Source organism: Homo sapiens, chromosome 5 (genome assembly GCF_000001405.40).
Source record: "Homo sapiens chromosome 5, GRCh38.p14 Primary Assembly".
NCBI lineage: Eukaryota > Metazoa > Chordata > Mammalia > Primates > Hominidae > Homo > Homo sapiens.
In genome coordinates this window covers 134627693-134652951 of record NC_000005.10, presented here as the reverse complement: position 1 = coordinate 134652951, position 25259 = coordinate 134627693, and the positions used below count along the sequence as shown (strand labels likewise).

The 25259-nt window shown below is 46.3% G+C and overlaps 2 protein-coding genes and 1 pseudogene across 10 annotated transcripts in view, besides 8 other annotated features; 2 read left to right on the top strand and 1 right to left on the bottom strand.

Moving 5' to 3' along the window:
* The window catches only part of SEC24A (SEC24 homolog A, COPII component), a 79528-nt gene extending 74958 nt beyond the window's left edge, over positions 1–4570 (bottom strand). For 5 of the 7 annotated variants that reach the window (NM_021982.3, XM_006714523.3, XM_047416649.1 and 2 more), the window contains exon 1: positions 3779–4167. In NM_021982.3, coding sequence (NP_068817.1) covers positions 3779–3875 — 97 coding nt within the window. In that variant the 5' untranslated portion in view covers positions 3876–4167. Of the gene's footprint in view, positions 1–3778; positions 4168–4516 lie in introns of those variants that run through there. The other 2 variants (XM_017008961.3, XM_047416648.1) reach the window with 1 other exon arrangement.
* Positions 3982–4519: an enhancer, noted in NCBI's record as "H3K27ac hESC enhancer chr5:133984123-133984660 (GRCh37/hg19 assembly coordinates)". NCBI's record gives its function as "activates a minimal SCP1, AML or CMV promoter by ChIP-STARR-seq in naive H9 embryonic stem cells {active_cell/tissue: H9 hESC(naive)}" and the evidence as "EXISTENCE:reporter gene assay evidence [ECO:0000049][PMID:30033119]".
* Positions 3982–4556: a biological region, named in NCBI's record as "H3K27ac hESC enhancer GRCh37_chr5:133984123-133984660".
* Positions 4267–4556: an enhancer, noted in NCBI's record as "active region_23160". NCBI's record gives its function as "activates an Ori minimal core promoter by ATAC-STARR-seq in GM12878 lymphoblastoid cells {active_cell/tissue: GM12878}" and the evidence as "EXISTENCE:reporter gene assay evidence [ECO:0000049][PMID:35858748]".
* Positions 4567–4626: an enhancer, noted in NCBI's record as "active region_23159". NCBI's record gives its function as "activates an Ori minimal core promoter by ATAC-STARR-seq in GM12878 lymphoblastoid cells {active_cell/tissue: GM12878}" and the evidence as "EXISTENCE:reporter gene assay evidence [ECO:0000049][PMID:35858748]".
* RNU6-1311P (RNA, U6 small nuclear 1311, pseudogene) lies at positions 18007–18108 on the top strand (annotated as a pseudogene).
* Positions 19673–20229: an enhancer, noted in NCBI's record as "H3K27ac-H3K4me1 hESC enhancer chr5:133968413-133968969 (GRCh37/hg19 assembly coordinates)". NCBI's record gives its function as "activates a minimal SCP1, AML or CMV promoter by ChIP-STARR-seq in primed H9 embryonic stem cells {active_cell/tissue: H9 hESC(primed)}" and the evidence as "EXISTENCE:reporter gene assay evidence [ECO:0000049][PMID:30033119]".
* Positions 19673–20252: a biological region, named in NCBI's record as "H3K27ac-H3K4me1 hESC enhancer GRCh37_chr5:133968413-133968969".
* SAR1B (secretion associated Ras related GTPase 1B) overlaps positions 20124–25259 on the top strand; it is a 31680-nt gene continuing 26544 nt past the window's right edge. Inside the window, exons 1-2 of one of the 3 annotated variants that reach the window (NM_001033503.3) lie at positions 20124–20224; positions 20757–20875. The gene's annotated coding sequence lies outside the window, so the exon portion shown is untranslated. Of the gene's footprint in view, positions 20225–20752; positions 20876–25259 lie in introns of those variants that run through there. The other 2 variants (NM_016103.4, XM_047417257.1) reach the window with 2 other exon arrangements.
* Positions 20203–20252: a silencer, noted in NCBI's record as "silent region_16367". NCBI's record gives its function as "represses an Ori minimal core promoter by ATAC-STARR-seq in GM12878 lymphoblastoid cells {active_cell/tissue: GM12878}" and the evidence as "EXISTENCE:reporter gene assay evidence [ECO:0000049][PMID:35858748]".
* Positions 20303–20412: a silencer, noted in NCBI's record as "silent region_16366". NCBI's record gives its function as "represses an Ori minimal core promoter by ATAC-STARR-seq in GM12878 lymphoblastoid cells {active_cell/tissue: GM12878}" and the evidence as "EXISTENCE:reporter gene assay evidence [ECO:0000049][PMID:35858748]".

Sequence of the window (25259 nt, the reverse complement as noted above, 5' to 3'; positions counted from 1 at the left end):
GTGGTGGCGGGCACCTATTGTCCCAGCTACTCGGGAGGCTGAGGCAAGAGAATGGCATGAACCCAGGAGGCGGAGCTTGCAGCGAGCCAAGATCGCACCACTGCACTCCAGCATGGGTGACAGAGTGAGACTCCGTCTCAAAAAAACAAAAACAAAAACAAAACAAAACAAACAAACAAAATACAAAATCAGCCAGGCATGGTGGCATGTGCTACAGGTGCCTGTAACCCCAGCTACTCGGGAAGCTGAGGCAGGAGAATCGCTTGAACCTGGGAGGTGGAGGTTGCAGTGAGCTGAGATCGCACCACTGCACTCCAGCCTGGCAACACAGCAAGACTCCGTCTCAAAAACAAAAAACACCAAACTGGCCAGGCACAGTGGCTCACGCCTGTAATCCCGGCACTTTAGTAGGCCGAGGTGGGCGGATCACCTGAGCTCGGGAGTTCGAGACCAGCCTGGGCAACGTGGCGAAACCCCGTCTCTACTAAATATACAAAAATTAGCTAGACATAGTGGCGCATGCCTGTAGTCCCAGTTGCTCAGGAGGCTGAGGCAGAATTGCTTGAACCCAGGAGATGGAGGTTGCAGTGAGCCAAGATCACGCCACTGCACTCCAGCCTGGGCAATAGAGAAAGACTATCTCAAAAACAAAAAACAAAAGCAAACTGAAGATCTAATTATACTGTAATATGTAATTTAAGCAAACTTCATTAAATACTTAAGACTTTTCGGCCAGGCGCGGTGGCTCACGCCTGTAATCCCAGCACTTTGGGAGGCCGACGCGGGCGGATCACCTGAGGTCAGGAGTTTGAGACCAGCCTGACCAATGTGATGAAACCCTGTCTCTACTAAAAATACAAAAATTAGCCGGGTGTGGTGGCATGCACCTGTAATCCCAGTTGCTCAGGAGGCTGAGGCAGGAGAATTGCTTGAATCTGGGAGGCAGAGGTTGCAATGAGCCATTGCACTCTAGCCTGGGCAACAAAAGTGAAACTCCATCAAAAAAAAAAAAAAAAAGAGTTTTCAACAGAATATGCAAGCATCAACTACTGCTTTGGAATAGTTAAGCAAAACTAGATCCCAGCATTGAAACGTTTTCTCACCTTCTTGAAAAATATCCTGTTCTCCAACTTGATACCATATCCCTACTCTCTGTATTATTAGCAGGATGAACAATAAAACAACCCAGGCTAGGCTTGGTAGCTCATGCCTCTAATCCCAGCACTTTGGAAGGCTGAGTCAGGAGGATCACTTGAGGTCAGGAATTTCAGACCAGCCTAGGCAACATAGAGAGACTCATCTCTACAAAATATATATAAAACATTATATATATAATATACATATATCTTTACATTAGGCCGGGCGTGGTGGCTCATGCCTGTAATCCCAGCACTTTGGGATGCCAGGGTGGGCGGATCATTATGAGGTTTGGAGTTCAAGACCAGCCTGGCCAACATGGTGAAACCCCATCTCTACTAAAAATACAAAAATTAGCCGGTTGTGGTGGCACAGGCCTGTAATCCCAGCTACTCGGGAGGCTGAGGCACGAGAATCACTTGAACCTGAGACATGGAGGTTGCAGTGAGCCGAGATCGAGCCATTGTACTCCAGCCTGGGCAACAGAGTGAAACTCTGACTCAAAAAATAATAATAAAATATATACATTATATATATATATTATATACTTATATAAAAAATGGGGCCTGGTGGTATGCACCTGTAGTTCTAGCTACTGGGGAGGCTGAGGTGTGAGGATTGCTTGAGCCCAGGAGTGACAGTGAGTTGTGATCCTGCCACTGCACTCCAGCTTGAGGGACAGTTTAAGTAAGATCCTGTCTCAAAAAAAAAAAAAAGGCAAAATACAAAAAACCTGTAGAGGCCAGGCACAGTGGCTCATGCCTGTAATCCCAGCACTTTGGGAGACCAAGGTGGGTGGATCACTAGAGGTCAGGAGTTTGACATCAGCCTGACCAGCATGGTGAAACCCCGTCTCTACTAAAAATATAAAAATTAGCTGGGTGTGGTGACACGTGCCTGTAATCCCAGCTACTTCAGAGGCTGAGGCAGGAGAATTGCTTGAACCTGGGAGGAGGAGGTTGCAGTGAGCCGAGATAGCGCCATTGCACTCCAGCCTGGGAGACAAAAGCAAAACTCCGTCTCAAAAAACAAACAAACAAACAAACAAACAAAAAACCCTGTAGAAATGGAACTTATAAAAAGACTATGAAAATTATATTTTAAAAAAGAGGTCTGGGTACCGTGGATCAGGCCTGTAATTACAGCACTTTGGAAGGTTAAGGAGGCAGGAGAATCGCTTGAACCCAGGAATCAGAGGTTGCAGTGAGCCAAGATCACCACCACTGCACTCCAGCCTGGGCAACAGAACAAGACTCCATCTCAAAAAAAAAAAAAAAGATGTGGAACAAATGTCTGTTGGACTGTATCAAATCAACATAGTGACAGTATCTCTAATACAGCATACCACAGTGGTCAAATCCCTTTAACATTTCAATATTATGACAACTACACTCATATATAAATGTTGAAGCACATTTGAGGATTTGTCATTTAAAGTTAATGTAAAACTGCAATTTATAGATTATAAGAAAAATCCATAGCCATGTAACATTTTTTCTCATCCTCAGTGTAAATGTTACTAAATATTCTAGAATAAAATGTAGTGTACATAATCTGTTACCATAATTTTGAGAAAGAATGGTTAACTCAGTACCCTTTCAGTGGCTTTCCTCCACTTATTCTTTCTTCTGCCCACATAGTTGCCTACTCACAGACATTTTTAAAAGTCTTTTAGAGCCATCTTTGTAAAGAAAACAGCGGTCTTCTCTAAAAACAATGTAAATTAGAGATTTTAGTCACTGTCTGTATTCTCCAACTTCACAGAACTCTTAGACTCTAATGGGCAACTTAAGTTCTTTAGCATTATTCTACTAGTCTTATTTCTGTAAACCAAAGATTTGTAAGTAAATTGGTAAGTAGGCAATCTGTCGGCAGAAAGTCTTTGTCTATTGTAACAACTGAAATAATCTTAGCAAATCACAATGTAGGACGATTTAAGGAATCCTAGAAGAGGTATAAAATTATAAGACATTCTCACATCAAATGACAAACTATAATGTACATGTAGACTCTTGTCAGAGATTCAGAGAGTTGTGTCCACCCACTTTCCAAATGCTGTCCAGACATCTAGAAGTCAACCAGGAGATCCTCCCTTCTATTTGGTTTTTCCACAGCTGAAACATTGAACAGCTGTTGTAGGTACAATTCTGGGAAGGTTCTGGGAGAGATGAGTAGGCCCTAAAGGGGTGTCCCAAAAGCATGCATTCATCTCCAGAAACTCAGACTGAGTACGACCCCCACCCCACTTCAGGGCCTGCGGAACCCAGAAGAATCAGACCCCACATCCTGCTCTCTAGGAGACTGGGGTGAGGTGGCAAGGAAGGCGAAGGCACACAAACACTATGATCCTTATATTCGAGTTTTGAGGCATTTTCTCACCCGTGTTTCACCCAGGGCGTTGCATACAGCAGGTGCTCATTTACTGTTTTGGTGACCGACTAAATAAATGTGAAAGACTGAGACGAGCCTGGGGCTACAGGTGCACAACTGCCGTGGTCCCCTGGCCCAGCCGCCCACCACCATCCGCGCCAGAACCCGGTAAGGAGGTCACTCTCTCTATCTATGTCGCCTCAAGCAGCAGTGGCACGCAAAGGTCAGTCAGCCCTGGCCAGGCTGCGCCCTCCCCCCGGACAGCACTCACCGTTGGTGTAGGGAGACCCCGAGGCCAAGGCGGCTCCGTTCTGGGCCTGGAGGCTGGCTGGGGCGCCGCCGGAGGCCGGTATTCCCGGCTGGGACATGATGACTGGGTTGGAAGGGGCTGGTCGGGGTCGACAACAGCGCACAAGAAGAGAGCTGAAAGACCACTGCTGAAAGCGGAGGGAGGAGGCTAACGACTTAAGACTGAAGACTGGGAGAAGAGGGGGGGGCGCATTAAGCCCGAGGCATGGCGCCGCACTCTCCCCAGGCCACCGGCGGCCACAGCCTAGCCTGGGAGCTGAGGCTTGAGAGTCGGGCCGGCGGGGCCGCGAACGCCCGGCTAGAAGGCGGCAGCCAAACCTAGAGAGAAGGAGGGAGGCCCTGGCCGGAAGTGCCTGTCAGCCGCCGGCCGCGCAGCCGCAATCAGGACACGTGGCACTTCCGGCTCCGGGCTCGCAGCAGCCGCCGCCGCGCCGGCGAACTCTTCTCTGCCAGCCGGGCTGCCCCGAGGCCACCTGACAGCTCCTGGTGCCCCGACCCCGACGACCGTGCCCGGCCTCGCCGCCACGTCACCGACTCTCACGGCCGGCCGGAAGTGCCGTGTGTCACCGCTACGGAAATTCCCGCCGTTGTGAACGTGACCTCGCTCGCAGAGCCAGGATCGTGGGGCAATCTGAGATTCAGTAGCCGCTTTCGTGGGGTGGGACTGACAGTTCCTCTCCTCGGGTTTTGTGAAGATTACCTGAGACCATAGAAGTCATCGTCCTCTGTTGAGACCGTACCACCACTGGGAGCTGGGGCGGTTAATGTTCATCGCAGTATTTCATTCACATTTCGTCTTCGTGTTTCAGATGTAAATTATAAGGGGTTTTAAAAAGAGGTGGTTAAATATGTGTACATGTTAATAGTGTGATCAAGCCAAGAAGGAGGCCTTTGTCTTTGACTGGAGGACTCAGAGGAATTTTAATTTTGAAACTCGCTGATTCACAGCATAGTCACGCTCAAGTTCATTAGCACATTTAAATGGCAGTTTTGTTTCCTCTTCTAAGAGTTTACAGTAAGGTAAAGAACTCAAACTTCCTTTCAGAGCAAGTAGACTTTTTTTTTTTTTGCAAGTTGACTTTTTTGACTTTTGAAGCCAAAGGGAGGTCGAAACTGCGGTGATTGGACAACATAGTTAATTAATGATTGAGTAATCATCTTAGCTGCCTTCATTCTATTTAGGTTTTTCCTGCTCTGTGCTGACGATAAAGCCCTCCTTTACAGATTTGTACTGTGGATTAAAATGTCATGCCACGCGGTTTCGAAACCTCAGTGTGAAGTACATCTTACCTAATTCATTTAATACCAAATGCCTGCTATGAAGTGTTATATTACATACAAAAAAAAGCCAGATCTAAACCACTGTGTCGGGCTGGGCAAGGTGGCTCACTCCTGTAATCCAAGCACTTTGGGAGGCTGAGACAGAAGGATTACTTGAGGCCAGGAGTTTGAGACCAGTCTGGACAACAGGGAGAGTCCCCTTATCTCTATTTAAAAAATATATATATATATATATTTTTGAGACAGAGTCTTGGTCTGTTGCCCAGGCTGGAGTGCAGTGGTGCCATCTCCGCTCACTGCAACCTCCGCCTCCTGGGTTCAAGCAATTCTCCTGCCTCAGTCTCCCGAGTAGCTGGGATTACAGGCTCCTGCCACCATGCCTGGCTAATTTTTGTATTTTTAGTAGAGACAGGGTTTCACCATGTTGGCCAGGCTGGTCTTGAACACCTGACCTCAGTTGATCCACCCGCCTCAGCCTCCCAAAGTGCTGGGATTACAGGCGTAAGCCACCATGCCCAGCCAATGTTTTTAATTAAATAAATTTTTAAAAAGTGGCCAGTGTGGTGGCACATCCCTGTAGTCCCAGCTACTCAGGAGGCTGATGTGGGAGGATCACCTGAACCCAGGAGTTCGAGGCTACAGTGAGCTGTGATCTCACCACTGCACTCCAGCCTGCATGACAGAGTGAGATCTTGTCTCTAAGAAAAGAAAAAGAATAAACCACTGTGTCAGGCCTAAAAAAGGTCAGTAAAAATTCAAATAACTAAATACTAAATTTTATACTAACCCTGTTTTCATCATTTGCCTCAGAACTTTACTAAAAATGTATTTGCTCGGGCGTGGTAGCTTACAACTGTAATCCCAGCACTTTGGGAGGCCAAGGCGGGCGGATTACCTGAGGTCAGGAGTTCAAAACCAGCCTGGCCAACATGGTGAAACTCTGTCTCTACTGAAAATACAAAAATTAGCCAGGTGTGGTGGCACATGCCTGTAATCCCAGCTACTCAGGAGGATGAGGCAGGAGAATTGCTTGAACCCAGGAGACGGAGGTTGCTGTGAGCCAAGATTGTGCCACTGCACTCCAGCCTGGCTGACACAGCAAGACTGTCTCAAAAAATAAAAAATAAAAATAAATAAATATTTGCTGTAAGTAGCATTTAACAATTCAATTCCTTTGTACAAGATCCAAGTACAATAACTTTTTTTTTTTTTTTGAGACAGTCTGTTGTCCAGGCTGGAGTGCAGTGGTGCAGTCACAGCTCATTGCTGCCTCAACCTCCTGGGCTCAAGCAGTCCTCCAGCCTCAGCCTCCTGAGTAGCTGGAACTACAGGTGTGTGCCATTATGCCTGGCTAGGTTTTTATTTGTTTGTTTGTTTGTTTGTTTGTTTTTGTAAAGAGAAGGTCTTGCAAGAGATCCTCCTGCCTCATCCTTCCAAAATGAGATTACAGGTTTGAGCCACCACGCCCAGTTAAAATCTTAAGATGAAGATGATACTTTTGGTCAAATTGTTTACAGTTTGGAGCCACTATAACAAAATCCCAAGTTATAGATCCAAAAACACTTTAAAATTGCACAGACACAAGCCTCTCAATGTTTTGAAGAGGAAATAGAGCTCAGAGAGAAACAACCTTTCTGAGGTCAGACAAAATCAGGGTCACTCTTCAAAGAGGCAAATACCTGATCTCAAACCTGCATTAGTTTAATTATCTCTTTTTATTCAGCTCCTTTTGAATGATCTTGATTTGTTTTGACCTTGGCACAGTGGTTTGATTTGGTTAAATCAAGGTTTCTTTGAACTTTGTGCTATTTAAGCAGTATCTGTGTGTTCAGAGATTTTTTTTTTTTTTTTTTTTTGAGACGGAATCTCGCTCTGTCGTCAGGCTAGAGTGCAGTGGTGCGACCTTGGCTTGCTGCAACCTCTGCCTCCCGGGTTCAAGCTATTTAAGCAATATCTGTGTGTTCAGAGATTTATTTATTTATTTATTTATTTATTTATTTATTTTGAGACGGAATGTCGCTGTGTTGCCAGGCTGGAGTGCAGTGGTGCGATCTCGGCTCACTGCAACCTCTGCCTCCCGGGTTCAAGTGATTCTCCTGCCTCAGCCTCCCGAGTAGCTGGGACTACAGACGCATGTCACCATGCCCAGCTAATTTTTGTATTTTTACTAGGGACAGAGTTTCACCATGTTGACCAGGCTGGTCTTGAACTCATGACTTCAGGTGATCAACCTGCCTTGGCCTCCCAAAGTGCTGGGATTACAGGCCTGAGCCACCGTGCCTGGCCCCAGAGATTTTAAAAAGTAGTCTAGTTGGTTAAATCAGGTTAAATCAACATAAATAATTTTCTAATAAGTAAACAATGCTTTCTCTAAAATTTGTTCCACCCCTAAGTTGCTATGTTACTGTTCGTGTCCTCAAAGCAATGATTAAGTATTTCAAATGGTTTTTACACTCTCGGTGTAATCAGCACTACAGTATTGAGGAGAGCTGGGCATGGTGGCTCACGCCTATAATCCCAGGACTTTGGGAGGCCAAGGCAAGTGGATCCCCTAAGCCCAGGAGTTGGAGAACAGCCTGAGGAATATGGCAAAACTCCATCTCTACAAAAACATACAAAAAATTAGCTGGGCATGGTGACGTATGCCTGTAGTCCCAGCTGCTCAGAAGACTAAGATGGGAGGATCGCTTGAGCCTGGGAGGTTGATTGTGCTACTGGACTCCAGCCTAGGCAACAGAGTAAGACCCTGTCTCAGAATACATATATACATATATATAGAGAGAGAGAGACAGAAGAAAAACAGCATTTGTCATCTGCCTAACCTTTGGGATAGTAGGAAGGTAAGTTTAAGTAACTGAGATGGGACAACATATTTTAAAAGTTTTCATATTAAGTATTATCCACACAATATCAAATCATTTGATGACTCATTTAAGTGTGGCCACAGAAATATGAAAAAATTATTGGTGATAGCAATTATAACAATTGCTCTTGGCCAGGCGTTGTGGCTCACGCCTGTATTCCCAACACTTTGGTAGGCCAAGGTGGGTGGATCACTTGAGGTCAGGCATTCGAGAGCAGCCTGGCCAACATGATGAAACTCTGTCTCTACTAAAAATACAAAAATTAGCCAGGCATGGTGACGGGCGCCTGTAATCCCAGCTATTTGGGAGGCTGAGGCAGGGAAAATTGCTGAACCTGGGAGGCAGAGGTTGCAGTGAGCTGAGATCTTGCCACTGCACTCCAGCCTGGGCGACAGAGGGAGACTCTGTCTCAAAAAAAAAAAAAAAATGCTCTTACCAATTGTTATTGATATTTCTTTGTTCAATTACCTGTATGTACACTACACTACTATACATTTTTCTAAACTGATGTCAGTAATATATTCTACTTTTTTATCTTTATTGTCCAGAAAAACAGAATCCTTCTGCCATATATACAACCTTCATAAGGCCATTATATGATTTTCTGCATATTTTCAGAGCCTTCAACCCTAGTTAAGAAAATTGTAGGCCCAGGGCAGTGGCTCACGCCTGTAATCCCAGCGCTTTCGGAGGCCGTGGCGAGCAGATCACAAGGTCAGGAGTTTAAGACCAGCCAGTCCAACATGGTGAAACACCTGTCTCTACTAAAAATACAAAAAATTAGCTGGGCGTGATGGCAGGTGCCTGTAATCCCAGTTACTCGGGAAGCTGAGGCAGAAGAATCATTTGAACCCAGGAGGCAGAAGTTGCAGTGAACCGAGACCACGCCAGTGCACTCCAGCCTGGGCAACAGAGCACAACCCCGTCTGAAAAAAAAAAAAAAAGAAAGAAAGAAAATTGTAAAGAACAAAATAAGTGACAAGAAACTGTTTCAGTAAGGATATAAACATTATACTAAGAATATTCCATTACATTTGATTATTTAGACTCAAAACTGGGAGACAGGCATTTCTAATAAAATTTGCTGATATGCAGAAGTGGACTTAGGCTCACACCAGAGCTCCTTTGCCTGCCTGCTCATGACTGTTGCATTTTCAGGTGATAAATAGGATCAACTTGCTTTACTTTTCAGGAAGGGGTAAATTATTTTGGGTTCTTTAATTATTAAAAATACTGTTCGGCCGGACACAATGGCTCACACCTGTAATCCCAGCACTTTGGGAGGCCAAGGTGGGTAGATCAAGAGATCAGGAGTTTGAGACCAGTCTGGCCAAGATGGTAAAACCCCATCTCTACTATAAATACAAATATTAGCTGGGCATGTTGGCAGTTCCCTGTAATCCCAGCTACTCGGGAGGCTGAGGCAGGAGAATTGCTTGAACCCGGGATGTGGAGGTTGCAGTGAGCTGGAATCGTGCCACTGCACTCCAGCCTGGGGGACAGAGCAAAACTCCGTTAAAAAAAAAAAAAAAAAAAAAAGACCGTTCCATTTCTATTTCAAACAAAGAACAGTTTCAGTTACAAACAGGTTTATAAGAACAACAGTTTTGTTTACTGAAACTCTTTTGGTTCCATTTTAAGAACAGTTCCTTTGGCCTCATTTGCTTCTGACAGGACAGCTGTTTGTATCTGAAGTCAGCAGCTCTGAAGCTACATCACAAGTACATTCATCCCCACCAAGCCTGAAAATCCCATTGCTTTCTTTGAAAACTTCTCATTTTTATGTAGCTCTTACCATTCTTCCTGCCCATTCTGGTTACTTTTCATCATCTTGCACTTGAACTGTTGGGAATGAATCGCCTTCTGGATTGCCTCTAATCCATCCCACATGTTGAATTGAGTTCCTTAACCACTGATTCCATTTTTACTTTCCTATACTCCCAGATCTGTGATTACTCCCTCTGCTTGCTCCATCAAGTTAAAATTTTTCTGCATGACTTTTCTCATCTCAAGCTAAGTAAAATCCAGAGTGCTACCCCGGCCCCACGTGACCTGGCCTTGCTACCTCTTTGACTTCCACACTCCTTCCCACTCACTCCACTCCAGACACATTTGCTATTTCTCTAGCTATTCAAGCACAAGCCTGCCATTACACTTATTTCTGTTACTTGGGATACTCTTCCCCAAGACATCTAGGGAACTCAAACTCACTCCTTTAGGCCCTTGTTCAAATATTACTTTAATTGAAGAGGGCTTCTCTAAATATCCTACCTGACACAGCTCACTCTGTGTTCCTCTTACTCTGCTTATGTTTCTTCATAACACTTATTATTGTTATATATTTGTGTCTTTTTTATTATCTTATTTGATAGAGATGAGGTCTCACCATGTTGCCCAGGCTGCTCCCAAACTCCTGGCCTCAAGTGATCCTCCTGCCTCAGCCTCCCAAAGTGCTGGGGTTATAGGCGTGAGCCACTGACCCTGGCCCTATTCGTGTCTATGTGTCTATGTTTATCTTTTTTCTTTTTTTTTTTTTTTTTGAGATGGAGTCTCGCTCTGTCGCCCAGGCTGGAGTGCAGTGGCGCAATCTTGGCTCACTGCAAGCTCCACCTCCCAGGTTCACACCATTCTCCTGCCTCAGCCTCCCGAGTAGCTGGGACTACAGGCGCCTGCCACCACGCCCGGCTAATTTTTTGTGTTTTTAGTAGGATGGGTTTCACCGTGTTAGCCAGGGTGGTCTTGATCTCCTGACCTTGTGATCCGCCTGCCTCGGCCTCCCAAAGTGCTGGGATTACAGGTGTGAGCCACCGTGCCCAGCCTGTTTATCTTTTTTCAATGGACCATAAGTCTATACATAGCCTGTGAATTCCAAGGTAACCATGTCTGTTTCCCTGTTAGACCGTCAGTGAGTAGAGACCAAGGACTGTGTCTTATTCACACAAGTGTGGGTATTCTCAACACTTGGCTTGGGGCCTCACACTTAACAGGTACAATATTCAGTAAACATTTTTGAAGGAATAAATTTAAAGTGTCTTTATCTTCCAGACTTCTGACAATTTTAATTTTGTTTTCTTTTTTTTTCCTTTTTAGAAACAGGGTCTCACTCTGTCACCTAGACTGGAGTGCAATGGCGTGATTATAGCTCACTGTAGCCTTAACTTCCGGGGCTCAATTATCCTCCCACCTCAGCCTCCTGAGTAGCTGGTACTACAGGTGCACACCACCACACCCACTAATTTGTGTATTTTTTGTAGAGACGGGATTTCACCATGTTACCCAGGCTGGTCTCAAACTCCTGGACTCAAGCAATCAGCCTGCCTCGGCCTCCCAAAGTCCTGGGATTACAGGCATGAACCACCGCCCAAGGCCTATTCTAACTCTTTTGACCCTCATTAATTCATTACTATAAGTTACTATTGCACTTATAGCCTAAACCACATCACTAGCACTTGTTTCTAAACTATGTTGGTCTAAGTTCTTTTTTTTTTTTCACTTGAGTGCTTAGTAATGAGAAGTCTCAAGTTCTTTCAGGTTCTCGACTGTTATGTTATATCGTGATAAGGCCTAATACTGTAGTTGAAGTAGTGCCAGCCCCTGTTCAGGCCCAGCTCACCCGGGAAGGGCTAGAGGTACAGTATCAAATGCCAATTCTTTTTCCTTTTTTCTTTTTGAGACAGAATCTCATTCTGTTACCCAGACTGGAGTGCAATGGCGCGATCTCGGCTCAATGCAACCTCCGCCTTCCAGGTTCAAGCGATTCTCCTGCCTCAGCCTGCAGAGTAGCTGGGACTACAGGCGTGTGCCACCGTGCCCAGCTAATTTTTTTTTTTTTGAGACAGAGTCTCGCTCTGTCACCCATGCTGGAGTGCAGTGGCATAATCGTGGCTCACTGCAACTTCTGTCTCCTGGGTTCAAGCAATTCTCCTACCTCAGCCTCCCGAGTAGCTGGGATTACAGGTGCCCGCCAACACACCCAGCTAATTTTTGCTTTTTTTTTTTTTGACGGAGTCTCACTCTGTCGCCTGGGCTGGAGTGCAGTGGTGCTATCTCAGCTCACTACAACCTCTGCCTCCCGGGTTCAAGCGATTCTTCTGCCTCAGCCTCCCAAGTAGCTGGGATTACAGGCGCCTGTCACTACTCCCACCTAATGTTTTGTATTTTTAGTAGAGACCGGGTTTCACCATGTTGGCCAGGCTGGTCTCAAACTCCTGACCTCGTGATTTACCCGCCTCAGCCTCCCAAAGTGCTGGGATTACAGGCATGAGTGGCTGCCCCCAGCTAATTTTTGTATTTTTAGTAGAGATGGGGTTTCACCATGTTGGCCAGGCTGATCTCGAACTCTTGACCTCAGGCCATCCACCCGCCTTGGCCTCCCAAAGTGTCTTTTTCCATTTCTAAACCCAACTATTTATCTACAGATACCCTGACACCACAGTATTAAAGATGTATACCTTCCCCTCTAAACCTACCTTTTCCTCATGACACTTTCTCATGAATAACTTCACCAGCTCCTTCGTTCATTCATTTAAAAAAAATTTTTTTTTTTGAAACAGAAGTCTCACTCTGTCGCCCAGACTGGAGTGCAATGGTGTGATCATAGCTCACTGCATCCTCAACCTCCCAAGTTCAAGCAGTCCTCCTACCATACCCTCCCGAGTGGCCAGGACTACAGGCATGTGCCACCACACCTAGCTAATTTTTAAAATTTTGTGTACAGGCATAGTCTCACTATATTGCCCAAGCTGGAAAAAGTATTTATTTGTTTTTTGGTTTTTTTTCTTTTTGAGATGGAGTTTCACTCTTGTTGCCCAGGCTGAAGTGCAATGGCACCGTCTCATCTCACTGCAATGTCTGCCTCCAGGGTTCAAGTGATTCTCCTGCCTCAGCCTCTCAAGTAGCTGGGATTACAGGCACCCGCTACTATGCCTGGCTAAGTTTTGTATTTTTAGTAGAGACGGGGTTTCACCTTGTTGGCCAAACTAGTCTCGAATTCGTGACCTCAGGTGGTCCACCTGCCCTAGCCTCCCAAAGTGCTGGGATTACAGGCATGAGCCACCGTGCCTGGCCGGAAAAAATACTTACTAAATACGTTTCATGTGCCAGGCACCAAGTAAAAAGGAACAGGACAGAGAAGATCTCTTCCTTCTGTGGATCTGTGGAGTTTATAGTTGAAAGAAACAATAATGTAGATAAATATATATTTTAAACTTTTAAATTGGTAAGTGCTATTGAGGAATCAGTGCTGAGGCAGAAAATAGCAAGGAAGGACCCGGTTTGGGTAGGATGGTTAGGACAGGAGATGACATTTGAGCTGTGATCCAAAGGATGAGGAAATTATGCGAAAAGAGGAGCTGGGTTGGGGAAAGGGCTCCAGGCAGGAAGAGCATCTAGAAAGGCCCAGTGCCAGGAATCAGCTTGCTGTGGTTGGCAAGGCAGAATGGTGTGAGATGAGATTGGAATAGTAGAGGGGGACAGAGCCATGAGAAACTTATAAGCCATTTTCAGGAGTTTAGAGGTTTGGAGAAGCAATTGAAGATTTATAAATAGAAGAATAACTTGGTCCAAGTATGATTTAAGATGAATCCATTAACAAAAACTCAGGCCATGCAAGTTGGCTCATGCCTGTAATCCCAGCACTTTGGGAGGCCAAGGCAGGAGGATCACTTGAGCCCAGGACCTCGAGACCAGCCTGGGCAACATAGGGAGACTCCATCTCTACAAAAATTTTAACAAATTAGCTGGGCATGGTGGTGCATACCTGTGGTCCCAGCTGCTTGGGGGGCTAAAGTGGGAGGATCACTTGAGAGGTTGAGGCTGCAGTGAACCATGATCGTACCACTGCACTCCAGTCTGGGCAACAGAGCAAGACCCCATCTCAAAAAAAAAAAAATCTAGCCAACCACTGTGAGGATAAGTTATTGGAGGGGAAATAATGGAGTTGTTGCTGTAACTGGAGCCAGAGCTGATGGTGGCCTGCAGTAAGGTCTTTGCACTAGAGATAGAGAGAAGTAGACTTACTAATTCAGGTAAAACTTTGGACTTTGCTACCTCTTTGCTTTTGCTAGCCACATGCAATCAATCATGAATTGTTTCTTTTTGTTTGTTTTGAGATAGAGTCTTGCTCAGTCACCCTGGCTGGAGTGCGGTGGCACGATCTTGGCTCACTGTAACCTCTGCCTCCTAGATTCAAGCGATTCTCCTGCCTCAGCCTCCCTAGTAGCTGTCACTACAGGCGTGCACCACTATGCCCAGCTAATTTTTGTATTTTTGTAGAGACAGGGTTTCTCCATGTTCGCCAGGCTGGTCTTAAACTCTGCCCGCCTCACCCTCCCAAAGTGCTGGGATTACAGGTGTGAGCCACTGTGCCAGGTCAATTATGAAATCTTTTTTTTTTTTCTTGAGATGGATTCTGGCTCTGTCACCCAGGCTGGAGTGCAGTGGCGCAATCTTGGCTCACTTCAACCTCTGCCTCCCAGGTTCAAGTGATTCTCCTGCCTCAGCCTCCCAAGTAGCTGAGATTACAGGTGTGTGCCACCATGCCCAGCTAATTTTTGTATTTTTAGTAGAGATGGGGTTTCACCATACTGGCCAGGCTGGTCTCCAACTCCTGACCTCGTGGTCTGCCTGCCTGGGCCTCCCAAAGTGCTAGGATTACAGGTGTGAGCCACTGCGCCCAGCCATGAAATCTTACAGATTCCAACCTTTACAGTTTCTCATAGGATTCCCTCTTTCTCTGTTCCCACTGACTCAACACAGGCCCTTGTTTCCTCTCACCTGTGTAATTGCAGCAGCCTCATTACTTATCTCAGCTTTCAGTCTTGACTTATTCCAATAAAATCTGCACACTGCTGCCAGAGGAAACATTTAAAAACACAATTCTGACCATGTTTCTGTTCTGCTCAAAACCCCCAAAAGGTTCTGCAGTTTGGGAGTCAAGGCCCCCAGTGGGCTAGGCCAAATCGATTCAGTTAAACTATAATACTTGCCTGGTGCTTTTCCTATATCTATTCCTTTTTGTATGTTATTTTCTCATGATATCATTCCTTCGGGATATTAGTCCCCATTTTACAGATGCAGGAACTGAAACTTTTGAGTGGCTAATGTTGGAACCAGTCTTTAACCTGTAGTCTGTAGCTAGATTAAGTTTTTCATTTTAAGTGTTTTATAAAAGTGTATAGAATGTTAATCTTTTTTTTTTTTTTTAAGAGACAGGGAGGGTCTCGCTCTGTCACCCAGGCTGGAGTGCAGTGGCACAATCATATCTTACTGCATCTTTGAACTCCTGGGCTCGTGCAATCCTCCTGCCTTAGCCTCCCAAGTAGCTGGGACTTCACATGCACACTACCACACCTCGCTAATTAAAAAAATTTTTTTTCAGAGATAGGGTCTCACTTTGTTGTCCGGGCTGGTCTCCAACTCCTAGTCTCAAGCAATTCTCCCACATCAGCCTTCCAAAGTGCTGAGATGACAAATGTGAGTCAGGGAGCTAGCTCTACCTCAAATTTTTAAAAGGCTGACCAAAATGCCAGGGATATCAGGAAAGAAAGCGTATCTAGGACAATAGCTGTAATCTTGAGGAGTTGAGGAGCCTTGTGAATTGCCTCAGGCCACATTAGTGTTTATTAAACCAAACAATTCAAGACTAGGTGAGTAGAGAGACTGTAGAGGGAAACCCAGACTGGAACAACAGGCTCTTCCACCGCAGATTAATGAACTCTAAAGAAACCCTTCTGGCCCGCTGCAGTGGCTCATGCCTCTAATCCCAGCACTTGGGGAAGCCGAGATGGGTGGATCACTAGAGGTCAGGCGTTCGAGACCAGCCTGACCAACATGGTGAAACCCTGTCTCTACTAAAAATACAAAAAAAATTAGCCAGGCGTGGTGGCAGGCACCTGTAGTCCCAGCTATTTAGGAGGCTGAGGCACGAGAATTGCTTGAACCAGACAGGCAGAGGCAACAGAGTGAGACTGTGCCTCAAAAAAAAAAAAAAAAAAAAAAAAGAAAACCCTTCAACGCCCAGAGGACAAAAATGTTCCTAGGACCCCTTCATGTTACAAATCATATTTATTAAGTACCTATTTTGTGCCAGGCCCTGAAAATAGGTTCAGGAGGGAAAAAAGTATATAGGGGCCATAACCTCAGGAAGCTTATGAAATGTCTGCTGGTGGTGTGATTATTTAAACAAATAATCACACATATACAATTATATAACTTCAGTGATTAAATTGTAAACCGAGCGCCGTGGCTTATGCCTGTAATCCCAGCACTTTGGGAGGCTAAGGCGGATGGATCACCTGAGGTCAGGAGTTCGAGACCAGCCTGGCCAACACTGTGAAACCCCCGTCTCTACTAAAACTACAAAATTAGCCCGGCATGGTGGGGCACAACTGTAATCCCAGCTACTCTGGAGGCTGAGGCAGGAGAATCGCTTGAACCCAGGAGGTGGCGGTTGTAGTGAGCCAAGATCGCCCCATTGCACTCCAGCCTGGGCAACAAGAGTAAAACTCGGTCTCAAAAAAAAAAAAAAAAAAAAAAGTAAATCATAAAGTTGCTGAGGAAGCTTGTTACCCAACCAAACTGGAGTCTGCTTCCCAATGCAGTAAGGCCTGACATCTATATGGGGGCTTTACATGAGGGTGTTTATTTGCAGGGCACCAAACAAGGAGAGTCTGTCAGCTCACACTTAAGACCTGACCTCCCCAATGGCTTACAAGCCAGAATTTTTTTTTTTTTTTTGTCAGTCTTACTCTCTAGCCCTGACTGGAGTGCAATGGTGCGACCTGGGCTCACTGCAACCTCCGCCTCCCAGGTTCAAGTGATTCTCTGCCTCAGCCTCCCAAGTAGCTGGGATTACAGGCGTGCACCACCACACTCAGCTAATTTTTGTATTTTAAAGAGAGATGGGGTTTCACCATGTTGGCCAGTCTGGTCTTGAACTCCCGACCTCAGGTGATCCGCCCACTTCGGCCTCCCAAAGTGCTGGGATTACAGGTGTGAGCCACTGTGCCTGGCCTAAGCAAGAGTTTTTAAAGGGAGGGGTAAATTTCAGAAAAGCAGAAGTTACAGGCAAAATTGTATATCAGTAAATGAGGTTATACATTGGTTTGGCCTAAAAAGATGGAATATCTTTTTTTTTTTGGTGGGGGAGATGAGGTCTCACTCTGTTGCTCAGGCTGGAGTGCAGTGGTGGGATCATAGCTCACTGCAGCCTGGATCTCCCAGGCTCAAATCAAGCAATCCTGCCACCTCAGCCTCCCAAGTAGCTGGGACTACAGGCATACAACCATGCCCAGCTAATTTTTTTTATTTTTTATGGAGATGAGGTCTCACTATATTGCCTAGGCTGGTCTTAAACTCCTGGGCTCAAGCAATCCTCCTGCCTCAGCCTCCCAAAGTGTTGGGATTACAGGCATGAGCCACCACACCCGGCTCCAGTGGGTCCATTTGATGTGGGTCTGGGTTTCTGAAAAACAACTCAGGGACATATGTTAAGATGTTATCTTTAGTTTTTATAAAGAACCAAACATCTTATGACTCAAACTTCTTAGGCTGTTGTTTTGAGCTACTATTACTTTCTTGCTTATCAAGTTGCTCAGGGCTAGCTAGGTGTGGGGAATTTCCCTTAAAGGAACTCGAGATTTTCCCTTACTTCCATACTTGGTTGGGAGAGTCAGGCAGGCCCCTAAGAGGGGTCCCTGCTCCATCTCAAAATCTGTAACAGAGGACTTAACCAAATCTGGGAGGAAGGCCTTGATGAGAGGAAGACCTGAAGAGTTGAGACCTGAAAAGTGTGTAGGAGTTAGCCGGGTGAAATGCAGAGGTGGGTAGAAGCTTTTCTGGCGGAGGGAAACCCTAGTGTCAAGGGAGAGCGCATGGAGTGAAGCACTTCCTGAGGCTGGAGCAGAAAGAGGAGATCCAGCAGAGCCAATGATAGGCTTTGCTGAGAATCCCTAAACAGCTCTTGATGCATTTAAAGAAGGCAATGCCAATCCATTAGAAAAGAACATTGGTGTCAAAACAGTCTTGTTTAAAGCTGAATACCTGTGTGCTCTCTTTGGCAGCACATATACTAAAACTGAAATGATACAGAGAAGATTAGCATGGCCCCTGCACAAGGATGATAGGCAAATTCATGAACTGTTCCATAGTAAAACAAACATACAAAAAGGCTGACTACGGCCAGGTGCAGTGGCTCACAACTGTAATCCTAGCACTTTGGGAGGCCAAGGCAGGTGGATTGCCTGAGCTCAGGCATTCAAGACCAGGCTGGGCAACACGGTGAAACCCCATCTCTAATAAAATACAAAAAATTAGTCGGGTGTGACCAGCCTGGGCAACACCATGAAACCCTGTCTCTACTAAAACACAAAAAATTGGCCAGGCATGGTGGACTGCGCCTGTAATCCCAGCTACTTGGGAGGTTGAGGCAGGAGAATTGCTTGAACCTGAGAGGCGGAGGTGCAGTGAGCAGAGCTCAAGCTCGCACCATTGCACTCCAGCCTGGGCGACAGAGTGAGACTCCGCCTCCAAAAAAAAAAATGCTGACTATCTGACTACACTCCTGTAATCTCAGCACTTTGGGAGGCAGAGGCCGGAGGATCGCTTAAGCCCGGGAGTTCAAGATCAGCGTGGGCAACATAATGAGACCCCTATCTCTACAAAACAATTCAAATATTAGCTGGGCCTGGTGGCACACGCCTGTGGTCCCAGCTACATGGGAGGATTCCTTGAGCCCAAGAGATTGAGGCTGCAGTGAGCTATGATAGCACCACTGGACTCCAGCCTGGGAGAAAGAGCAAGACCGTCTATATATATATATAATTTTTAAATTTATTTTTAATTTAATTAATTTATTTATTTTTTGAGACGGAGACAGAGTCTCGCTCTGTCGCCCAGGCTAGAGTGCAATGGTGCAATCTCGGCTCACTGCAACCTCCACCTCCCGGGTTCAAGCAATTCTCCTGCCTCGGCCTACCGAGTAGCTGGCGTTACAGGCACCTGCCATCATGCCTGGGTAATTTTCGTATTTTTGTAGAGATGGGGTTTCACCATGTTGGCCAGGCTGGTCTTGAACTCTAACCTCAGGTGATTCACCCACCTTGACCTCCCAAAGTGCTGAGATTACAGGTGTGAACCACCGCGCCTGGCCAAGACCGTCTATAAAACAACTGAATAACCAGCTGAATAAAAGCTGAATAACCAGCATCCAACACATTATCTGGTACGTAGCTACATTGTGTAAATCACTGGTGAATTCAATAAGCACAAATAACAAAAAAAGAAAAAAAAATGAATTCAATAAGCACGTGTACTTTGAAAATGTATTTTAGGCAGGGCGCGGTGGTGATCCCAGCACTTTGGGAGGCTGAGGCAGGTGGATCACTTATGCTAGGGAGTTTGAGACCAGCCTGGCCAACATGATGAAACCCGGTCTCTACTAAAAATACAAAAATTAGCCGGGCGCAGTGGCTCACGCCTGTAATCCTAGCACTTTGGGAGGCCGAGGCGGGCGGTTCACTTTAGGTCAAGAGTTCGAGACCAGCCTGGCCAACATGGTGAAACCCCGTCTCTACTAAAAATACAAAAATTAGCCGGGCATGGTGGTGCGCGCCTGTGCTCCCAGCTACTCAGGAGGCTGAGGTAGAAGAATCGCTTGAACCCGGGAGGCGGAGGTTACAGTGAGCTGAGATCGCGCCATTGCACTCCAGCCTGGGCGACAAAATCGAGGCTCCGTTTCAAAAAAAAAAAAAATTAGCCGGACAGTGGTGGCGGGTGCCTGTAGTCCCCGCTACTGGGGAGGCTGAGGTAGGAGAATCTCTTGAATCCAGGGGGTGGAGGCTGCAGTGAGCCGAGATCGTGCCACTGCACCCCAGCCTGGGAGACAGAGCGAGACAACGTCTCAAAAAAAAAAAATGCCAAAAGTAATTTCCCCTAGGGAGGCATGGGGTGTTCCTTTCTCGGCACGCAGGCCCCTAAAATCCCTTCGGGCGGGCGGGTGTGGGGAGACCAGGCGGCTGGGAGACCCAGGCGGTGTTAGGGGTTGCGAGCAGCCTCGCTCAACTGGGGAATTGGCGGCAAGACTGCCAGGAGGCGGAACCTAGGGCGCTCGGCGACGCGGTCCTGCGGACTGTCGCTAGTGAGGCACCCGCCGGCCCGGAAGGGGCTGATGCGAACTGGGGCCACGGCAGCCATCGCGCTTTGCAGTTCGGTCTCCTGGTGTACGGCCAACGCCAAGTAGGGGATTGCGTTCCCTCCAGTCGCAGGTGAGTGACAGCCCCTCCTTCTGGGAGGACCGGTGGGCAGCAGCTATGGATCCCCTAGAAGGCGCACTTTTAGGGCCAAGACCTACTCTGAGTCCCTGCCTGTGGCACTGCGTGAAGGGGCGCCTGTTTTTCACCCCGGGGTTAGGCGGCGCGAGGGAGGACAGGTCTCATCCATGCTCCGCGGGGCCGTCTGATAGCCCTCGAGGCAGAACACTGCTGCTGTCAGACGCTTGGTCTTTTCAGGAAAGAACGAGGTGGCTGCAGGCAAGCCCCTTCCTTCCCCTGGGCCTCAGTTTCCTTACCTGGTAAGGTGAAGGTGGCGGGTCTCACTGACAGCTGAAGAGGCTGTGACACGGCCTGGTGTTTTCAGCGCTCCCAATTAGTGTAGAGGCAAATTGAGCTTCCTTACTAGTACTGGTTAACGTTTTCCGTAGCCCAAAGTCCCAGTTAAGTGGAAAAAAGATACACTGTTGAGAAAACTGTACTGATTTTTGTTTTAATTTTTTAAATTTTTGTTGTTGTTTTGAGACAGAGTTTCCCTCTTGTCGCCCAGGCTGGAGTGAAGTGGCACGATCTCGGCTTACTGCAAGCTCCGCCTCCCGGGTTCACGCCATTCTCCTGCCTCAGCCTCCCGAGTAGCTGGGACTACAGGTGCCCGCCACCACGCACCGCTAATTTTTTTGTATTTTTTAGTAGAGATGGGGTTTCACCGTGTTAGCCAGGATGGTCTCTTATCTCCTGACCTCGTGATCCGCCTGCCTCGGCCTCCCAAAGTGCTGGGATTATAGGCGTGAGCCACCGCATCCGGTCTAACTTTTCTATTTTTAGTAGAGATGGGATTTCTCTATGTTGGCCAGTCTGGTCTCCAACTCCTGACCTCAGGTGATCTGCTCGCCTCGGCCTCCCAAAGTGCTGGGATTAAAGGCATGAGCCACCTCAGTGGGCCACTGTACTGATTTTTAAGGTGTTGAAGCTTTTCCAAGAAGATTTGTTTTAAAACAGCTAAAACTTTGACATTGTTAGCTGAAAGAACCAAATTCGTCAGCAATTTAAGGTGTTTGGTACAGTGGACAAAATGAGGTGAAGAAGTCCTTTTAACTTGAAAAATTAAACATAGTATTATTTATTTGTGTGTTCTTACATCAGCCTCTATATTACTAAGTGTCTTTGAAGACGTCCTATATTCCGTGTTAAAGTATCAGTGAAGAGTAGGTCACATTGAAACAATGAAAGAAGGAAAGAAAAGGAACATTTATTGACTACTATGAGTAAGGCACTAGCTGTCATTTTACAGATGACAAATAAATGGTGGTGCCAGTATAGCAAAGCAACATGATTATCTACTATTATACCTTTCAGTAGACTTGTGTCTGTCACCAAAATGTTTTGAACTTAAAAAATGTTAAGATAGTTCATTGGCATTTTCTGAGTTTGTAGAAAAGGAAGGTGTCTTCATTTTAGAAATGTCAGAGATGCACTGTCAGTAATTACAAAGATTAGCAGTTTAAATAAGGTATATTTTAACCTTCCTTTGACTTGCATTATTGTACTGGAATAGAAATTCAAGCAAGAATTAAGAAAAAAGATGAGTCTAACAGAAATGAAAATCAGCCTGGGCAACATAGCAAGACCCAGTCTCTACATTAAAAAAAAAAAAATTTGCTGGGTGCAGGGCCCTGGCTAGCAGGCCAGTAGTCCCAGCTACTCGCTGCTGAGATGGGGGGTTTGCTTGAAGCCAGGTCAAGACTACAGTGACCTGTGATCATGCCACTGCACTCCAGCCTGGGTGAAAGAAAAAGACATTGTTGCTAAAAAAAAAAAAAAAAAAAAAAAAAAAAGAAAAAAAAAGAAATAGAAAAGGAAATGAAAATCATTGCCACATCATTTGAAGCTTACAAGTTGGAATGCTATATTAGTATTTCTTTTCTTTTTTCTTTTTTTTTTTTTTTGAGACGGAGTCTCGCTCTATCGCCCAGGCTGGAGTGCAGTGGCTCCAGGCTGACTGCAACCTCCACCTCCAGGGTTCAAGTGATTCTCCTGCCTCAGCCTCTCAAGTAGCTAGGATTACAGGCATGCACCACCACATCCTGCTGATTTTTGTATTTTTAGTAGAGATGGGGTTTCACCATGTTGGCCAGGCTGGTCTTGAACTCCCGAACTCAAGTGATCTGTCCGGCTTGGCCTCCTAAAGTGCTTGGATTACAGGCGTGAGCCACTGTGTCCTGCTATAGGTGTATTTCTACACTTACTTTTTTTTTTTTTTTTTTTTTTGAGATAGAGTTTCGCTCTTGTTGCCCAGGCTGGAGTGCAATGGCGTGATCTCCAGCTCACTGCAACCTCTGCCTCCTGGGTTCAAGCGATTCTCCTGCCTCAGCCTCCCGAGTAGCTGGGATTACAGGCATACACCACCACACTCAGCTAATCTTGTATTTTTAGTAGAAACAAGATTTTTCCTTTTTGGTCAGGCTGGTCTCGAACTCCCAACCTCAGGTGATCCGCCCCCCTCAGCCTCCCAAAGTGCTGGGATTACAGGCGTGAGCCACCTCCCCCAGCCTTCTACACTCATTTCGTTAAGTACTCACTTGGCTGAGCATAGTATTTCTACGCTCGCTCACTTTAAATACTCATCCCAACTCGGGGTTTCACTATGTTGGCCAGGCTGGTCTCGAACTCCTGACCTCAAGTGATCTGCCTGCCTTGGCCTCCTAAAGTGCTGAGATTACAGATATGAGCCACTGTGCCCAGCCCTCACCTTGGCCACTCTTAAAAATTTTCTACTATTTATATTTGTCATGGTTTTATCCTTCGTTTTCTTTTTCTTTTTTTTCTTTTTTTTTTTTTTGAGACAGAATGTTGCCCTGTTGCCTAGGCTGGAGTGCAGTGCCACGATCTTGGCTCACTGCAACCTCCGTCTCCCGGGTTCAAGCAATTCTCATACCTCAGCTTCCTGAGTAGATGGAACTACAGGTGCCTACCACCACACCCAGCTAATTGTTTTTTTTTGTTTGTTTGTTTGTTTGTTTGTTTTTTTGAGATGGAGTCTTGCTCTGTCGCCCAGGCTGGAGTGCAGTGGCGCGATCTTGGCTCACTGCAACCTCTGCCTCCCAGGTTCAAGCGATTCTCCTGCCTCAGCCTCCTGAGTAGCTGGGATTACAGGTGCACGCCACCATGCCCAGCTAATTTTTGTATTTTTAGTAGAGAAGGTGTTTTACCATGTTAGTCAGGCTGGTCTTGAACTCCTGACCTCGTGATCTGCCCGCCTCGGCCTCCCAAAGTGCTGGGATTACAGGGGTGAGCCACCGTGCCTGGCCTATTTTTGTATTTTTTCTTTTGTAGAGACGGGGTCTTCCCATGTTGCCCAGTCTGGTCTCAAACTCCTGGGTTCAAGTGATCCCCCCACCTCGGCCTCCCAAAGTGCTGGGATTACAGGCATGAGCCACTGCACCTGGCCTATTTTTGTATTTTTTTTGTAGAGATGGGGACTTCCCATGTTTCCCAGGTTGGTCTGAAACTCCTGGGTTCAAGTGATCCCCCCACCTTGGCCTCCCAAAGTGCTGGGATTACAGGTATGAGCCATCATGCCCAGTTCATCCTTCTTTTTTTTTTTTTTTTAAAGACAGGGTCTCACTATGTTGCCCAGGTTGGAATGCAGTGGTGTGATCATAGCTCACTGCTTGAATTCTTGGGCTCAAGCAATCCTCCAGCCTCAGCCTCCTGAGTAGCTGGGACTACAGTTTCTTGCTACCATACCCAGGTAATTTAAAAAATTTTTTGTACCGGGCATGGTGGCTCACATCTGTAATCCCAGCACTTTGGGACACCGAGGCGAGTGGATCTCGAGGTCAGGAGTTCAAGACCAGCCTGGCTAAGATGGTGAAACCCTGTCCCTACTAGAAATACAAAAAAATTAGCTGGGCTTGGTGGTGGGTGCCTGTAATCCCTGCTACTTGGGAGGCTGAGGCAGAGAATTGCTTGAACCCAGGAGGTGGAGGTTGCAGTGAGCCAAGATTGTGCCACTGCACTCCAGCCTGGGCGACAGAGTGAGACTTAGTCTCAAAAAAAAAAAATTTTTTTTTTAGAGATGGGATCTTGTTATGTTGCTCAGGCTGGTCTTTAACTCCTGGTCTCAGGTGATCCTCCTGCCTTCGCCTCCCAAACTGCAGGGATTACAGACATGAGCCACTGTGCTCAGCCTGGATATTTGTATTCTAGGACAGTTACTACACCCATTTCACCATAGCATTACCATGCTTTGCATCCCAAAGTTATTAGTGCATTGATTCTACAATCATACTCTGATGTCATATTTGCCTCTTTAGACTATTAGGTCCCTTATTTTCTCCCAATAGTACTTTTTGGGTATTTGTATTTTGTCATCTTATGTGTATTTTTTTTTTTTACAGGACCCCTGAGAACTAATGTGTATTTTTTATTTTTATTTTATTTTTTTGAGGCAGGGTCTCACTGTCACCAAGTGCATGCTATCACATCTGGCTAATTTTTGTATTTTTTATAGAAATGGGGTTTTTCCACGTTGCCAAGGCTGGTCACAAACTAAATATGTATTTTTTTTCTTTTTTTTTTGAGACGGAGTCTTGCTCTGTCACCCCGGCTGGAGTGCAGTGCAGTGGCACGATCTCGGCTCACTGCAACCTCTGCCTCCCAGGTTTGAGCGATTCTCCTGCCTCAGCCTCCTGAGTAGCTGGGATTATAGGCATGCACCACCATGCCCGGCTAATTTTGTATTTTTAGTAGAGATGGGGTTTCTCCATGTTGGTCAGGCTGGTCTCGAACTCCCGAACTCAGGTGATCTGCCCGCCTCGGCCTCCCAAAGTGCTGGGATTACAGGCGTGAGCCACTGCTCCCGGCCCTTAATGTGTGGTTTTATTTATTTATTTATTTATTTATTTATTTATTTATTTATTTTTTGGGATGGAGTCTCGCTCTGTCGCCCAGGCTGGAGTGCAGTGGCGCAATCTCGGCTCACTGCAAGCTCTGCCTCCTGGTTTCACGCCATTCTCCTGCCTCAGCCTCC